The sequence below is a fragment of the Homo sapiens genome, chromosome 2 (assembly GCF_000001405.40).
Source record: "Homo sapiens chromosome 2, GRCh38.p14 Primary Assembly".
NCBI classification, from domain to species: Eukaryota; Metazoa; Chordata; class Mammalia; order Primates; family Hominidae; genus Homo; species Homo sapiens.
In genome coordinates, this window is record NC_000002.12 from 3,638,314 (window position 1) to 3,655,910 (window position 17,597).

Sequence of the window (17,597 nt, forward strand, 5' to 3'; positions counted from 1 at the left end):
CTGGGCTCTGGGGGACGAAGTCGGTGGGAGGGCAAGGAGCTGGCCGTCCCTGAGCTCTTCAGGTGTGGACTCATGAAGTCTCCTTGGGGTCCCGCACAGTGTAGCAATGCGGCTAAGCTGCCCTGAGCACTGGCGGTGGAGGGAGTCTGCTGTGGTCTGTCCAATTCAGGGGCCAGGTTCTTCTACCTCATTCATCTGCCTCGGAGCAGGTTGGCCCAGGTACCAAGAGGCTACGGTCTGGGGTTTGAGCTGTGAGGGGGTTCTCATGGTTTGTTCTGATCCATGGTCACAGACCTCCCCCTAGCCCAGCCTGTACCTGGTAGAAAGGGCTCTGTGGCCAGGAGAGCGATGGGGAGGGGCCTAGCTCAGCTGCGGGCCTCCCCTGGAAAACCCGTGAGAGGCACCTTCCCTGCCACGGCCAATGCAGTGAAGAGCACGCAGAGAACCACAGGATCTGGAGGGAGGCGTGGGCTTCACAAACCCAAATAACATCATGGTAAAATACTTATATCCCCAAACTTGCCATTTTAAGTATTTTAAGTGTACAATTCAGGGACATTGAGTACATTTGCAATGGTGTACAGCCATTACCACTATTTCCAAACCCTTTTCATCTCTCCAAAGAGAGACTCTTCCCACTAACCAGTGGCTCCCCATTCCTCCTCCCCCAGCCCCGGTAACCTCCAATCTACTTCCTGTCTCTGAATTTGCCTATTCTAGATATTTCACATATGTGGAATAACAATGTTTGTCCTTCTGTGTCTAGTTGATTTCACTTGGTGTAGTGTTTTCAGGGTTCACCTGTGTGGTAGCGTGGGTCAGAATCCCCTGCCTTTTTAGGGAATAATATTCCACCATATGGATGGACCACAATTATTGTCCATTCACCTGTCGATGGACACATGGGTTCTTTCCACCTGTTGCCTTTTGTGAATAACGCCACATTGCGTATTGACTCACACATGGGGATGTGTATACTTTTACCATGCGGTGTGTGCTCTGGGCAGATTCCGGCATCTCCTAAGGGGCAGCTGGTCCAGGCTGGCCTTGTTTGGCTTTGCTTATTTGATTTGCTTCGTGTCTGAGATTGTCATCCTGGGTTCTGGTCAAGCTGTGCTTTCATTTCCAAGCTCCCGATGCTGATAAAGGAACACAGAGGAATCAGGTGGGTGGAGACTGCGAAACTCCTTCCCTCCTTATGCGAATGGAATTGGAATCTACTGAAGTCTTTTCTCAGAGGCATTTGGGGCCTCTCTGTGAGAATAAAGAGAATGCATTAGAACTTATTTCTATTAAGTCACATGACTTAATTTTAGAGCAGCTAGAAAGCCCTGTTGCCATCATTTTGTTCAACCCCCTTGTTTTGGACGTTGAGGAGAACTGAGGGGCAGGGTGGTGAGGTGGCTTGTCCCATCTAACTGGAGGTTGGGTCCAGGCCAGGATGGAGCCCAGGCTCCTGGCATCTGGGCCCTCCAGGACACCAGGCTGCTACGAGCAGGGATGGGAAGGACCTTGAGCCAGGGCAGGAAGGAGTGCACCGACTCTTGGATTAGATGAGCTCTCAGGCCTGCGTGGCGCTCCCATCATGCTCCGTCTGGATTTTCCTGCTGTCATGAGAGAGGTCGGGTGCTGCTGTTGGGAGGAGTGGCCACTCACTCATGGCACCAGGGATTCATGAGGCGATGTCTGCAGAGTGTTCTATCAGATATCCTGGATTTTCCAGAACTGATTTAAAGAATGATCACTCGATAATCCCTGTCACCCCATGACATGTATATGGTTCGTATCACATAAATAGTGCCGGAAGCAGGAATTACCTGCAGAATGGGGCTCCGGTACTTTGTAGCAACAAGAGGGCCTGGGATAAATCCGCGAGACAAATCACATTTTCAGTCTTGATGTTTTTAACACATAGAACATGTCCATCTCTGCCTGGTGACTTGGACCTTGTTTTTTATTTTCAGGTGAGAAAGGAGATTCCGGTGACATAGGACCCCCTGGTCCTAATGGAGAACCAGGTATGGCATAAAGGGTCCAAGGATTTTTAATAAAATGTATTAAAAATTGCACTTTTGAAAACAATGTAGATCTACACCATGTAGATCCCACAGTGGACACCCACCCCTGTCACATCCCACAGTGGACACCCACCCCCGTCACATCCCACAGTGGACACCCACCCCCGTCACATCCCACGGTGGACACCCACCCCCGTCACATCCCACGGTGGACACCCACCCCCGTCACATCCCACGGTGGACACCCACCCACCATGTAGATCCCACAGTGGACACCCACCCCCGTCGCATCCCACAGCGGACACCCACCCCCGTCACATCCCACAGCGGACACCCACCCCCGTCACATCCCACGGTGGACACCCACCCCCGTCACATCCCACGGTGGACACCCACCCCCGTCACATCCCACGGTGGACACCCACCCACCATGTAGATCCCACAGTGGACACCCACCCCCGTCACATCCCACAGCGGACACCCACCCCCGTCACATCCCACGGCGGACACCCACCCCCGTCACATCCCACGGCGGACACCCACCCCCGTCACATCCCACGGCGGACACCCACCCCCGTCACATCCCACGGCGGACACCCACCCCCGTCACATCCCACGGTGGACACCCACCCACCATGTAGACCCCACGGTGGACACCCACCCACCATGTAGACCCCACGGTGGACACCCACCCACCATGTAGACCCCACGGTGGACACCCACCCACCATGTAGACCCCACGGTGGACACCCACCCACCATGTAGACCCCACGGTGGACACCCACCCACCATGTAGACCCCACGGTGGATCCCATTCGGAAGGTGCTTTCCGAGAAGGATCTGACTCTTGGATACCAGGGAGAAAAGAGAGGGGCTGGATTTCTGAATAAAAGTCCTTGTTTTAAAAGCTCCTTCGGCACCGCAGAGATGAGGAGGAACGGCTGCTTGGAAGGTGTGCTTGCCGGTGTGACTTGGCTGAGTGTGAGTGCGCTGAGATCAGTGTCACTGACTGGCCGAGCAGCATCCGCTCAGGGCACCTCCAGGCACTCAGCCAACCTGAGGGGCCCGGACAAAGCCTCTGGGAGACAGAAGGACCTGGAGGCAGGTGACGGCGGGGCAAGGAGAGGGGACGTCCCATCCCGGGGCTGAGCTGCTATCGTCAGGCCTAGCTTGGTCAGAGTTTGGAGGTTAAATGAGGAAAGGAATCCATCCACTTCCCCTGACAGGGATCTCTCCAGAAAGCCTCTATTACCTCAAACCTCAGCCAGCTTGAAGATAAAATATATTTAACAAATTTTATCTTAGATAAAACTTCCATTAAGAAAACCCCCAAAACCAAGGCAAACCCCAAGAAAGATCGAGTTTCAAATGTGCAAGTGTGAGTGGAGGGGGGGTGTCTCACGTATGAGGGCGAGGAAGGTGGTTTGGGCTCTACGTGATTGCCGACGTCCAGAAAGAGGGATTGAACTTCTACAGGATATGCCAGACTGCAGGGTGGGCTGAGACTCTGCCCAGTGGAAACTGTGGGAAAAGGCGTAAAGCCCACCCGCACACCGCAGCGATGGGGGTGGATGGTGAGGTGCTGGGCAGGCCCAGGCTCCGATCCTGGGGACAGGCAGAGGCTGCTGGGCCACGGGGAGCCCCGGCACCACGGAGGCGATGACCAGGTGTCACTCTTCACAGGAAGAAGGTTAGGGTCCGTCCAGGGACTAGGAACAAACTCGCAGCCGGAGGGAATCGGTTGGCAGAACTGGGAGGGCGGAGTGTAGCTCAGTTGATTAGCGAGAGAAGACTTAGGACAGCTGCGTGTTCTGGACACCGTGCCGTCTGCGAGGCATCAGAGGGACTTCCCGCCTAGCCACAGGGGCACAGATACTCGATTTTGGAGCCCAGACTGTCTGCCTGGGCCCAGATCTCAGGCTCTCCATGCCCCGTGGCTCTCAGTGATGTCAGATGTGATGCAGGGATAGGAGCAGCACGCGTGTGGTCACAGGCGTATGGGAACGGAATGAGCTCATTGAGAATGAGATCTGTTGCCAGAAAGGCCTGTGAGGTGTTCCCTGTTATTTCAGTGTGGGAGGTGGCTTCCCACCATGGCTCTGCGTCCCACCCATGTCCCTCTCATCAGGCCACTTGTGTTGCTCACTCTTGTGTGTCAGGACAGACACCGGCTTCATCCCTCCCTCCCTATCAGCTCCCTTTCACCACCGTTTCAATATATGCAAGCAATTCTTGTCTTAAAGCAAAACGACTGCAAAGCCGCAGAGCTCCTCTCTAGCGGCCTCACGTGTGCAGCTCCCCAGAGTTCTGTACCCCGGGCCCCTGTCTTTCCCTCCACATTCCTGCCGCATCATCCAGCTGGGACAGCCCTTGATCGCTAGGTGGTGGGTCTGAGGGCCGCTCCAGCCATCCTCCCACCAGACCATGGCAGCACCTGTCCTGTGGGCGCGGCCTGCCTTCCTCACTTCCTCCCAGGCCTCACCCACGGCCTGCAGGTGCTCCTGGTGATGCTGCTCTGTCCTCCCTCCCTGAGCCGTCCCTCACGCCCTGTGTGTGCCCACGATGCCCAGCTCTGCCCTGGCCCCCACTCCCCACCTGACATGTCACAGGCACCTGAGTGTTGGCAGATTCCACCTCCTTTGCCCAGCCAGCAATGGAATGGCCCCACCACCTCTTCCATTCCTGACAGACGCCACTGCGCCCTTCAGCTCCCCTCAGCCCTGCAGTGCCCCCAAGCCATGGAGGCCTGCTGGCCATCCCCACCATCTTCCTCAGATGTTCTAGCTTTTCTCACTGCACGCCCTCAGCCAGACCTGCTTCCCTGGTTCCCAACCCTGCCCTGGGCTGCTTCCCACCCCTGCACCTCCATTTCTCTTCCCCCTACAGCTGGAGAGGTTTGAAATACATGTGTCTGCCCTCCCTCCACTCCTGTGGAGGTCCTTCCCTGCTCCCCCTGCCTTTAGGATGAAGTGGGTGATGGTTATTGCGGCCTCAAAGGCCCGTGGGGCACGTTTGTTGAGTAAAATGTGCATTTCCGGGGAGGGGTCCTCGCCTCTCTTCTGAGTCCGAGTCCTCATCCAGCGTTTGTAACGCGTGGGCCTGGCCCCCGCAGGCCTCCCATGTGAGTGCAGCCAGCTGCGCAAGGCCATCGGGGAGATGGACAACCAGGTCTCTCAGCTGACCAGCGAGCTCAAGTTCATCAAGAATGGTATGTGGCTCCCGGCGCCGCCCTCGCTCCCTCCCACCTCCCAGCCCTGTCCTGAGCCCCCCGGCAAGGGCTCTGCCGTGCCCACGCCTGCCCTGCCTGCCCTGCCGGCCCCTGCTGCCTGTGGCTGTGCCTTAAGTTTGTTGCACACATACAAGTGCTCACTTTTCAACCCTGCCTTACCCCACAGCTGTCGCCGGTGTGCGCGAGACGGAGAGCAAGATCTACCTGCTGGTGAAGGAGGAGAAGCGCTACGCGGACGCCCAGCTGTCCTGCCAGGGCCGCGGGGGCACGCTGAGCATGCCCAAGGACGAGGCTGCCAATGGCCTGATGGCCGCATACCTGGCGCAAGCCGGCCTGGCCCGTGTCTTCATCGGCATCAACGACCTGGAGAAGGAGGGCGCCTTCGTGTACTCTGACCACTCCCCCATGCGGACCTTCAACAAGTGGCGCAGCGGTGAGCCCAACAATGCCTACGACGAGGAGGACTGCGTGGAGATGGTGGCCTCGGGCGGCTGGAACGACGTGGCCTGCCACACCACCATGTACTTCATGTGTGAGTTTGACAAGGAGAACATGTGAGCCTCAGGCTGGGGCTGCCCATTGGGGGCCCCACATGTCCCTGCAGGGTTGGCAGGGACAGAGCCCAGACCATGGTGCCAGCCAGGGAGCTGTCCCTCTGTGAAGGGTGGAGGCTCACTGAGTAGAGGGCTGTTGTCTAAACTGAGAAAATGGCCTATGCTTAAGAGGAAAATGAAAGTGTTCCTGGGGTGCTGTCTCTGAAGAAGCAGAGTTTCATTACCTGTATTGTAGCCCCAATGTCATTATGTAATTATTACCCAGAATTGCTCTTCCATAAAGCTTGTGCCTTTGTCCAAGCTATACAATAAAATCTTTAAGTAGTGCAGTAGTTAAGTCCAAATAGTGGCAATGGGGTCTTGAATTACTACCTTTTAATTTCTATATGGAAAAGAACTCACTTTGACCAACACTTCTGTAAATTACATTACAATATAGGTTCCTTCACACTATTATCCATGTAAAAACAATTTTGCTTTGCTTCAAACCCAGATTTCAGGAAAACAACAACAAAATTCTCCAAACTTTACTACTAAATGTGTGGAGTCATTTTGTTCTCTTAATTTTTTCAATAGCTGTATTAGTTATCTTTTATTTTAATTAACTTTTGTAGAGGTGAGGTCTTGCTATGTGGCCCAGGCTGGCCTTGAACTCCTGGGCTCAAGCGATCCTCCCACCTCTCCTGAATAGCTGGGACTGCAGGCAGGAGCCACCACACCCGGCTTGTATGAGTTATTTATTGCTGCCTAACAAATTACCCCAAAACTCAGTGGCCTAAGAAAGATTGATTACCTCCCAGATCAGGAATCGGCACAGGGCTTAGCTCAGTCTTCTACTTCAGGGCCTCTCCCAAGCTGGAACCAAGGTCACTCCTCGTGTGGTTTGTGCAGAGCTCAGGTCCTCCTGGGTTGTTGGATGGAGGGCCTCAGTTTCCCACCAGCTGTGGGTCACAGGCTCCCGCAGTTCCCTGTCACAGGGGCCCTTCCCCTGGGCTGCCCACAACATGACAGCACCTTCCTCAGAGCAGCCCAGGAGAAGAGCCGAAGAGAGAAGCCGCAGCCTTTCCTAAGCTCACCTGGACATATCCTGCTGTCTGCATCCATTTGCGTTGCCACAAAGGAAAACCCGAGGCTGGGCAACAGATCAACAAAGAGGTTTATTTGGCTCACGGTTCTGCAGGCAGCACCAGAAGCGTGGTGCCAGCATCTGCTCCTGGTGAGGCCTCAGGCTGCGTCCACTCTCAAGTGGAGGGGGAGGGAGAGCCGGCACTCACAGAGATCACATGGGGAGAGGGAAGCCACGAAGAAAGAGAGGGAGGTGCCGGGCTGTTCTGCATAATCAATCAGCTTAGGGAACTAGCAGAGTGAGAACTTGCTCACTAGGGTAAGGACTGAGGACAGCACCCAAGATACTCATGAGGGTTCCGCTCCCGACCCAAACACCTATTTGGCCCCACCTCCACCATGAGGGTCACATTTCAACATGAGATCTGGAGAGGCCCAACAGCAAACCACAGCACGTGCCTTCCCTCTGTGGTGCTCTACCAGCTTGAGGCGAGGCACCGGGTGCAGCCCATACATGGGGGTGAATACCAGGGGGTGGGGACCACTGGGGGTCAGTTCAGAAGCTGCCTGCCACAGTACCTCATGGTTTTTTTTTTTTTGTATTTCAGAATCCCAATAAAAATAACAAGTATCTTCATTTTTAAAATAGAACACACGTACATGTACATTCCCTCCCAGCTGGTGTTGTGGGGCGAGAGGGAGCTGTGGAGCTGGCTCCCAGGGGTGGGTGTATTTGTGCACATCCTGTGAGGGAGGCCCCGACGGCCCTTTGTTCTAAGTTATCTATTCTGGGTGTTTGTACAGTGAAATGCCTTGGAAGATAAAGATAGTGTCTCCCTTCCCTGTCTCCCCACCGGAGAAAAGGGCAGGTTTGCCCGCAGCCTTGGAAAATAGAGTGTCTCGTTCTGTGGCAACAGGCAGGCATGGTTACTGTCCAGCATAATAAAGATGATGTCTCCCTCCAGGAAAGAGTGCAGGCATGTGTACTACCTGCTAGAGAAGAACCGGGTTCCCTAGGCTCAAGGGTCCTCCCTGTAACGGACCCACTGCATGTGCGGGTGCTGTCTGCCTTCTTCCTGAACCCCTGAAGGGAGTGGAGCCCAGGATACTGGTGCAGAAATGCCAATACCCCAGCTATGGCTGTTGCTGTAAGTAACAAAGTCCTTTATCTCTGACCCAGAAGTCTCATGTCTTCAGCCAGCACCCATGAACCTGGGACTGTAAGTAGGGTAAAATCTCAGGCCTTTCACAGTTCTTGACAGGAATTTCTTGATATCTCCTTGAATTTAATTCTCATCTCATTGGAAGGACATAGCAAACAAGTTTATTCCGGACCTGAGTGGTCCCTGGTTTGTTTGGATGGGAAGAGGAGCACCTTGTCTTCATGGAGCAGGTTCCAGGGAATGATGTACAGCTGGAGAAGCAGGTGCCGCTGCCTCGCCTGCTGGAAGGGAGCCCGTCAGAGCGACCAGGCTTTTGCTTCATTGGCGCAGACTCTGTGTATGAGAGATGGAGTCTTCCTACTGGTGCGTATATCCTTCTGGTGCTTACAAGCTACTGCAGCCATTAACTCACCCCTCTATCTGCTCACCCATGCATTCATTTACTAAGCAGTCAGTTTGAATATTTCTCCGTTTCTGACTCTGTCAGACCCATGGTTTTCTGTGTGGCAGTTCCAACAATGCCTGGAGTATAGCTGAAGAATTGGGGGATGCTGCTGTGTTTGTGTGTTGGGGGGCCAGGCTGTGTGTGGGGAGGGTTGTCACTGAGCAGGTCATCTCACTGAATGGGCAAGTCCTCAGTGGTCCCCACTTCTGGTCTCACAGGCTGTGCCCTGCTGTCCATCATCCCCGTGAGGACGCAGAGCCACTCCCTCAGCCCCCGCACCCCTCATCCCCCCATTGCCTCTGAACTCTCTGGTTCGCTGAGGTGGCCTTGAAATATAGGGCCCCAGACAGGCTGCAGGGGTTGCGCGTGTGATGACACAGGGACCATGTGAATGTAATTGGTAATATGTTCAACGCGACACACACATACGTCTAAGAAGCAAAAATCCTCCTTTACTTCAGTCAACTTTGCTCTAGTTGAGGGTCAGTCTTTCTAGGCCTTTTTCAAGAGCATGCACACACTCACACACACACACATACACACACGATTAAAACGTATCTGGAGAATGCCTCGGGGGTGGGCATTCTTTCTCACCTTCTTCATCAGCAACCTGTCTTGGGGCAATTCCCATGCTGCCCATGGGGCCTGCCTGCTTCTCCCATCCTGCCGCAGAGTATTCCAGAGTGTGGCCGCTGGGGGTTACTCACCCATCCTCTCCCGATGCCGCTGGGGGTCGCTCACCCATCTTCTCCTGATGCCCCTGGGGGTCGCTCACCCATCTTCTCCTGATGCCCCTGGGGGTCGCTCACCCGTCCTCTCCTGATGCCCCTGGGGGTCGCTCACCCGTCCTCTCCTGATGCCCCTGGGGGTCGCTCACCCGTCCTCTCCTGATGCCCCTGGGGGTTGCTCACACATCCTCTCCTGATGCCCCTGGGGGTAACTCACACATCCTCTCCTGATGGACACTAGCGTTGTCTCAGCCTTCACTCCCTGGTGATCACTAACGCATCCTCTCCTGATGGACACTAGCGTTGTCTCAGCCTTCACTCTCGCAACCCAGCTGCGGTCAGGCTCCTTGACTGCACCTTGATGTGCGCCGGTGAGACCCTATCTGTAGGGGAGAAACAGACCTGGAGGTTGAATGGCTGCACTTACAAATTTGATAACCAATCCAATGCCAAGTCTGGGCCTGTGAGTTACAGGCAGGAGAGGAGAGACCAGGCTCTGCTGATGATGGTGCAGTGGGCAGGTGTGGGGCAATGGGCAGTGGGTGTCCTGGGGACAGCAGCGCCAGGGAGCCCGGCAGCCCTGGCAGCCTCTCCCACTCCTGTGCTAGTGATGAGTCTGGGCCCTCAGGATGGGAGCAGGAGAGCTCTTTGGCCTAGAGAGGTTTGTCCTCTTTTCCATTTCTCCCCCCATTAAGGAGCAGAGGTAATTATTTTAATGGATGAGTCTTATTCATTATGTGGAGTGGCTTCTCCCTGACACGTCTCCCAGTCACACAGGAAAGCATGTCTTCCCATCTGTCTTTGATGAGGCTTTCACATGCTCGAGGCTGCTCTGCCCAGGCTGGGGGAGCCAAGACGCTCCTGACACTGGCAAAGCTCTCGTGCACACATAGGGTGTCAGCTCTGTGCATGTGAGGCTGGCTGGCTCTTCCTCACCTGCACGGCGGCATCCACTGCCCACAAAGCCTCCCTGGCTGCCCCAGGTCCACCAGTCCTGGAGGTGCTGCTGGCCTCGGGGATCCTGCAGGGTCTGGGGTGCTGCCCACAGAGTGGGTGGAGACTCTGCTTCCATGTGCGGACTCCTGGCCACAGGGAAGGCCTGCCAGCTGGGCCTCCATTCCCCTAGGGCTGCCCACAGCATCTTTGTCCAAGTGTCCACGGGGCTGTAGGCTGTCCACTGCCCCCCATTCTCTGCTCCAACACCAACCCCTGTCCTCCTGCAAATCCATGTGGGCAGACGGCCGCCTCTTCCACCAGCGCATCACACGACCCGCTGTGTCCCAGGCTGGGACACGACTTCAAGTGACAGTGTGATCTTCATGAAGTTACAGAAACATCCTAAGCCTCAGTTTCCTCATTGGTGGAGTGAATGATTTTCATGCCTCCCACTGGGGCCTTGTGAGGATTACATGACACGATGTGTGTAGGGCGGTCGGCGTGGCAGAGTACTGGGTGTTGAGTACTGAGTACCTGGCCCCGTAGAGAAGCCTGGGTGCCAGGCAGTGGTGAACATAGCCCAGGACAGTACGTTCTCATGCACGCCGTAGACGGGTTCATAGAAACGGCAACACACGTCATAGGTTCTTGGAAATGGCAGGCTTGGGTGAAATGGCAGTTAATGAAACCAGTTCCACAATGGGCGCGTTAATGAGCAAGACTGAAGTGCCTAGGGTGTCATTCTGGTCACAGGGTCATCACCAGACTTCGAAAAAAGACCCCAAACACTTCTTTTTTTTTTTTTTTTGAGACGGAGTCTCGCTCTATTGCCCAGGCTGGAGTGCAGTGGTGCGATCTCGGCTCACTGCAAACTCCACCTCCTGGGTTCACGCCATTCTCCTGCCTCAGCCTCCTGAGCAGCTGGGTCTACAGGCGCCCGCCACCACGTCCGGCTAATTTTTTGTATTTTTAGTAGAGACGGGGTTTCACCGTGTTAGCCAGGATGGTCTCGATCTCCTGACCTCGTGATCCACCCGCCTCGGCCTCCCAAAGTGCTGGGATTACAGGCGTGAGCCACCGCGCCCGGCCCCCAAACACTTCTAATATTAAATACTGAAGTAAATGTGGTTTACACATACATTTAAGAAAGATTAATAGAAATAAGATCCATGTTACCCAGTGATTCTGGTTCAGGGGTGCGGGTGGCCCACGCCTGACCTGGCAGCTCAGGGTGCAGGGTGGGCTCCAGCCCTGGAGAGGACGCTGTCCCATCGCAGGGCAACACACCCGCACTCACACAGGGACCGGGCAGACACACCAGGGACTCACGTGCACACGTGTGGACGCGGGAGGAAACCAGAGTGCCCAGAGACAACCCACGCAGACATGGGGAGAACAAACAGACGCCACAGACAGCGGCCCCAGCTGGGATTCAGTGTTTTTCCTCATCAGTGTTACAACGAAGCAAGGTTGGATGAAACAATTCGAGGACTTGCTGCCCGTAGCTTCCCCAGCTACAGCTGTTCAGCAGCGTCTAAGACGTTTTCCAAATTTGTTCTGTGAGGAACTGGACGTGATGCATTAGTGCCCTGGAAGGCACGGAGCCGTCATCTGTGGGTCTTCACCCCTTTCTCCCCTCTTATGTCTGATTCTTGCAGAAAACAAGAGCCGTTCGGCACTGGCTGCACAGTGCCCTCAATTGGAAGGGAAGAGGGCAGCGCTGGCTGAGAGGGCAGAGGAAGCCGGGACACCTCCTGGAGGAGGGAACACTCTCTGGGTTCTGGGGTTTAGGGAATTAGATAGCAAAGCCCTGTTCCAGGTTCCTGCAGGAGCTCCCACTGCTCCTCCTGGGGGCCGGAGTGGCATCCACAGGGCTCTCGGGGCAGCCAGGATTCCCTGTCTGTGGCCGGCCACCGGGCTGATGGCCCCTGAGTTGACCCAGGCAGCCTGCCTTGCCAGGACTGATGCTGAGCGCTGTTTGCTGGCTACTGAGTGAGAGAAACAGCGCACCACGGTGACTGTCAGGTGGAAGCCTGGTGAGGCCTGGGCAAGCGGGCAGCTGCAGCTCCAGCCCCAGCAGCACCTTGAAGCCCCTCGGCCCGGTGAACATGTGGGCCCTGGCAGCCACCTGCCCCATAGTTCTGTGGGGGTCAGCAGTGCGTGCACCTCCCTTCCAGATGCTCTGCTCCTGGGGCGTCTCGCACTTGTCTGGGGCTCAGTTTACTCCCATACAGGCGAGGAGCTTGGGTACAAACACCTCTGCCTCCACACTACCCCTCCCATGTGGGTACCCACTGTCACGCAGTCCCCACCCTGCAGACCCTCCACCAGGCTTCATGGAGGGGAGTCTGTGTTAATAGCAGGCACAGTGAAGGCGCACGGGGCCTTTCTTTGTACCTGGTTAATTCAGCAGTGTAGGATTATGCTTGCTTTAAAGCAAACGTGAGGGGCTATAAACACTGGGCCTGAAGTCAGAACCATTACCCTGATTTTATTCCCATAACTTCCGAGGAGGAGACCTATTGTGTAGACTGCAGAATCTGATCTGCAAAGTAGGAGGGAAACGGTTTGGTTAAGGAGAGAGCCGGGATTTATTAGGTGCTGCATTGAGGCATGACCGGAGAGCTGGCACGCGTGTATTTCTCAGAGCCCTCTGAAGCGTGGGCTGAGATGGATGAGCGCAGACACACAGCCTGGGGCTGCCCGGCGGTGGCGGCGGATCCGTGGCTCCATACTGCCATCTAGTGGGAAAAGAGGACGAGGACGGCGGCGCCCACACAGGCGCGGGGAGGTTTGCAGAGCCACGGAGGGCGCTCAGGCCGCCGATGCTTGCGGGAATTCTTTTTGGGTGGGTGGGTGGGTGGGGGGGGTGTGTGTGTGTGTGTGTGTGTGTGTGTGTGTGTGTGTGTGTGTGTGTGTGTGTGTGTGTGTGTGTGTGTGTGTGTGTGTGTGTGTGTGTGTGTGTGTGTGTGTGTGTGTGTGTGTGTGTGTTAGGAAGGGAGACGAGTTAAAGGCGTAGAAAGGACAAAGAGCAGGCGGGAGCAGGAGGCAGAGGCCGAGGTGTCAGACTCTTCAGAAAGCACCCGGCCTCGCTCCGCGTGAGTTCTCATCCTCAGTGGCACCCACGTTGTGTCCCTGCGGTGACAGCAGCCACGTAGACCTGACGACCGAAAGAGCAGTCAGGAGAAAGAAAGGTCACTTTGGCCGTTGATGGCAAAGACGAACTCTGGATGGAGGCTGGGCCAACCCCATGCGGAGCTCCATCGGCCGGGGAGGCGGGAAACATGCCCGGCGTTTCTTCAGGGGCAGGACGAGATCCCTGACAGATGTCGCGTGGCTCTCAATCGTCCTTATTCGCGGGCAGCTATTCATCCGGATGCTCCTCCCTTAGGCCTGAAACTGCTCTCGCGCTCTGCCCACGCCGTAGAAGGCAACTCAAGGTCACTGCATGGAAACCGTGCCCTTCGCTTCCCCTGTGGGCCCATCAGGGTCTGTGGCCGGTGAGGGCTGAGGTCACCAGACGCAACCCGGCTCAGCTCAGCAGTTCGGAACCAAGAACCACACGTTTCTTAGTTGCAAGCAGGAAAATCGCAGTCGGGCTAATTTAAGCACAAAGGGAATTTGTTGAAAGCGTTTTGGGAGCTCGCAGGAATTCTGGGAGGCCCGGAGCCCCGCCTCGGTGCGTGTGGAAGGGAACAAAGCCCATGGATTGTGCCGCCCACCACGACCTGCAAGGGCCCCTCGGCTGCCAGCAGCAGGTGCGGGTGGTTGCTAGGCTGCCCGCTGTTGCTATGGAAGCGGCTGTGCTGCTGTGTTTGCATTTCACTAGCTTCCTGTGCAGAGCCTGGGGGCCGGTCTGTCTGGTACCTAGAGCTCGGGGCCATTTTGTGGGCCTGCACAGGTTGTGCACTGCACAAATCCAGAGCCACTATTCATAGAGCTACAATCCGCACAATTCTACATGGAAGCTTTGTAGGCGTCCATGCCTTAGATACAAAGGAGGCTGGGAAGCACATATTTTTCCATTTCTATGGTGGGAAGAAAATGTGTTTCCTAAGGATGGAGATATCCCAAACAGCGTATATCAGTTAGCTTTTGTTGTGTAACAAACCACCCCAAAACTTTGTGATTTTTTTTTTTTTTTTTTTTTTTTTTTGGAAATGGAGTCTCGCTCGTTTAGCAGGCTGGAATGCAGTGGCGTGATCTCGGCTCACTGCAGCCTCCCGGTTCAAGGGATTCTCTTGCCTCAGACTCCCAAGTAGCTGGGACTATAGGCGTGTGCCACATGCCCGGCTAATTTTTTGTGTTTTAGTAGAGATGGGGTTTCACCGTGTTGCGCAGTCTGGTCTTGAACTCCTGAGTTCAGGCAATCAGCCTGGCTCAGCATCCCAAAACGCTAGGATTACAGGCGTGAGCCACCACGCCTGGCCAAAACTTAGTGATTTTAAATAATAACCATCCATTTAACCATTAATCTTAACTCTGTAGTCAGCAATTTGGACTGAGCTAAGCTGGGCAGTTGTTATGGTCTTGGCTGGGCTCACTCTGGTGTCTCTGGGTAGCTGGTGGGGTGGCTGGTCTCCAGTGCATCAGCTGGGAGGCCTGTCTGCAGCCTGCAGATTCTCACTTCAAGTAACTGGCCTGAACATGTCTGCAGGGTGGCAGCAGCATTTTGGCGCTGCTTCAAAAAGAGTGGGTGCACACGGGGCCCCCCGAAGCCTCCACTCAGAGCTGGAGCATCACTCTGTCTCCTTCTGTGCCCCAAGTTGGTCATGAGGTGAGCCCAGGGGTCAGGAAATAGACTCTGCCCATGATGGGAGAAGCTGTGGAGTTCCATTGCACAGGGGTGTGAGGGACTGTGGCCACGTTTGCAGTTTGCCACTTGTGTGAAGGAAGTTCAGATGTGGCCAGAATCAGGACAGACATCCATTGTGGCAGGGTTTGGAGAGGAGAGGGAAGGCCACTCCAGGTGACCGGCAAGGACTGGGCATGTGTTGAACTGAAGGCCTGGTGGCCCAAGTGGACCTGCGTCCTGCCAGCTACGATCCAGCCCTTGCCGCTTTCCCTGAAGGTGTGTCAGGCACTGTGAGCTGGGGTAGGTCCTTCTGCTAAAAAATTCCATCACAGTTTGTTGGGGGATTGTGGCAGCAGTGGGTGTCGAGAAGACAGTTTCTGGCATTGCTCTTGGGCTCAGGTACCACGAGGGTGCTGCCAGACCACACCGAGATGCTCTGCTCATCCTTGATGACCTCAAGCTCACCTCGTTTCCCTCATCCCGTGGGCCATGATGGTGCGTGGCAGAGCTGAGGGAAGACTCTGGTGAGGGCCAAGCCTATTCCAACATGTCCTGTGTATCTTTCCCGCTCCTGCTACCCCTGTGCTGCAGCCCTCAGTCTTATTCTAAGCCTTTCTCATCCCTCATCCCCCATCAGGCTTCCCTGCTGGGGTTTATCATCTATGGCTGTGTAACGAATTATCCCACGATTAATAGATCTTAGCTTGCATGGTTCCTGTGACCCAGGAGCTTGGGAGCAGCTTTGCTGGGTGGTTCTGTCTCAAGGAGTCTCAAGAGATTGCACTCAAGATATCTGCTGGTGCCACGGTCTCATCTGAAGGCTTGACTGGGCCAGAGGATCAGCTGCCAAGGTGGTTTGCTCACATGCCTGCGAGTTATTGCTGGCTGTTGGCAGGAGGACTTGGATCCTGCCATGTGGGCCTCTCTAGAGGGCTGCTGCATGACCCTATGACAAGGCAGCTGGCTTCCCTCCATGTGAGTGATCCAAGAGCCCTTGATGGGAGAACCTGCAAAGTCACATTGTAAAGAGGTGTGAGCGTGAGGAGAGGCGGTGGACTGCGACTGTGGCTGCATCCCCCACACGGGAGGAAAAGCAACGGCTGCAGTGGCTTTGATGGCGCAGCCTCGGAACCACGCTCTGCCATTTCTGTAAGGCCCTGCTGGTTGCACTGGGTGGTCCTGCTCAGCATGGAAGGGATTTACCAACGTATGAGTGCCAGGAGGTGAGGATTGCTGGGGCCGTCTAGGAGGCTGCCCAAGCTTGCTCCTTAGGGTTGTGCTTTTTCTAGATGAAAGCTAGTTCATCTGACCCACACATTCAGGTTATCATCTGATGGAAGCTGAAGAGCTCAAGACACACTCCCTGAGCACTTGTCACGAGCCAGACACTGCCAGAAGCTCTGGGATGACACAGTCAGTGCGTGTGACTCTCAGTGAACCCTCAGGTGTGCAGGAAACGTGACTGTCTTTTCTGCGTGTTTCCCTTCAGCTGAGTGGAAGAAACGTATTCTCAGTCAGTTCTGGACTTCATGCCCCATTTCCCTGGGGTCGTGTCACAGACAGGGCATTTGCAACTCTGCCTGGAAGGCGCAGAAAGAGGACCGCATGACTGTTTTCAGGCGAAGGTTGCCATGGATAAAGAAGCGCTTTGCATTGGCTGTGTAATGCGGCACAGCAAGTTAGCACGAATTAGAGGCTTAAAGCAGCATCCGTGACCTCCCTGTGTCTGTGGTCAGTGCCTGAGCCGCTCCCTGGACCCTCTCTCAGCCTGCAGTCGAGGTGTCCGTGGGCTACTCTCCTCCCTCTGCGGACAGGAACTGCTTCCTCGTGCACTCCCCAGGTCACTGGTGGGGTCAGCTCCGTGCTGGCTGCTGGCCTCTCTGCAGGGCAGGTTGCACCATGACAGCTGCTCCTTCAGGGCAATAAAGGAGAAAAGGCAGGGGCAGGGGTCAAGACGTAAGTCACAGGCTTCCGGAACTTCACCTGGAAAGTGACACCCATCACCTTTGCTGTGTCCTGTTCACCAGAAGTGAGCCACTGGGCTCCACCCACATTCGGGGAGAAGAATGGGGCGTGGATGCAGGTGGAGGGGGCCCAGCACCTTGAAGTTGCCCTACCCAGGCTGGCACATGTGTCCCAGGAGTGTTGTATGAGGGTGGGCAACATGGAAAACATGCACAGTTTATGTGACTGTCAAAGGAATGACTAGTTTGTTTGTTTGTTTTTTGAGATAGGGTCTCACTCTATTGCCCAGGCTGGAGAGCAGTGGTGCGATCACAGCTCATTGTAGCCTTGAACTGCTGGGCTCAAGCGATCCTCCCACCTCAGCCTCCCAAGTAGCTGGGAATACAGGTGTGTGTCATCATGCTTGTCTAATTAAAAAACTTTTGTTTTTCAGAGATGGGGTCTCACTGTGTTGCCCAGGTTGGTCTCAAACCCCTGGGCTCAAGGGATCCTCCCGTCTCAGCCTCCCGAAGTGCTGGGATTATAAGCATGGACCACTGTGCCCAGCCTTAGAATGACAAGTTTTAAGTATTTGCCTAATTAAAGGGACAGCATTAAGGAAACCACTGGCCTCTTGCAGCTGGAGCCATAAGACAAGCCTCGAGCATTGCCCCTGAGCTCTGCCCCTGTGCTTCTGCTGGAGCCCCTAAGCGCTGCCCT

The 17,597-nt window shown here is 55.2% G+C and overlaps 2 protein-coding genes across 14 annotated transcripts in view, besides 3 other annotated features; both read left to right on the forward strand.

The window, feature by feature from the left end:
- Positions 1-6,331, forward strand: part of COLEC11 (collectin subfamily member 11) — a 49,533-nt gene extending 43,202 nt beyond the window's left edge. For 12 of the 13 annotated variants that reach the window (NM_199235.3, NM_024027.5, NM_001255983.2 and 9 more), the window contains 3 exons: positions 1,965-2,018; positions 5,131-5,226; positions 5,414-6,331. In NM_199235.3, coding sequence (NP_954705.1) covers positions 1,965-2,018; positions 5,131-5,226; positions 5,414-5,805 — 542 coding nt within the window. In that variant the 3' untranslated portion in view covers positions 5,806-6,331. Of the gene's footprint in view, positions 1-1,964; positions 2,019-2,926; positions 3,120-5,130; positions 5,227-5,413 lie in introns of all 13 variants that reach the window. The other variant, NR_045659.2, reaches the window with a different exon arrangement.
- Positions 7,506-17,597, forward strand: part of ALLC (allantoicase) — a 56,853-nt gene continuing 46,761 nt past the window's right edge. The window contains exons 1-2 of the mRNA XM_017004495.2: positions 7,506-8,014; positions 8,175-8,392. Coding sequence (XP_016859984.1) covers positions 8,251-8,392 — 142 coding nt within the window. The 5' untranslated portion in view covers positions 7,506-8,014; positions 8,175-8,250. The remainder of the gene's footprint in view (positions 8,015-8,174; positions 8,393-17,597) is intronic.
- Positions 13,238-13,517: an enhancer, noted in NCBI's record as "active region_15236". NCBI's record gives its function as "activates an Ori minimal core promoter by ATAC-STARR-seq in GM12878 lymphoblastoid cells {active_cell/tissue: GM12878}" and the evidence as "EXISTENCE:reporter gene assay evidence [ECO:0000049][PMID:35858748]".
- Positions 13,628-13,867: an enhancer, noted in NCBI's record as "active region_15237". NCBI's record gives its function as "activates an Ori minimal core promoter by ATAC-STARR-seq in GM12878 lymphoblastoid cells {active_cell/tissue: GM12878}" and the evidence as "EXISTENCE:reporter gene assay evidence [ECO:0000049][PMID:35858748]".
- Positions 13,628-14,376: an enhancer, noted in NCBI's record as "H3K27ac-H3K4me1 hESC enhancer chr2:3699531-3700279 (GRCh37/hg19 assembly coordinates)". NCBI's record gives its function as "activates a minimal SCP1, AML or CMV promoter by ChIP-STARR-seq in naive H9 embryonic stem cells {active_cell/tissue: H9 hESC(naive)}" and the evidence as "EXISTENCE:reporter gene assay evidence [ECO:0000049][PMID:30033119]".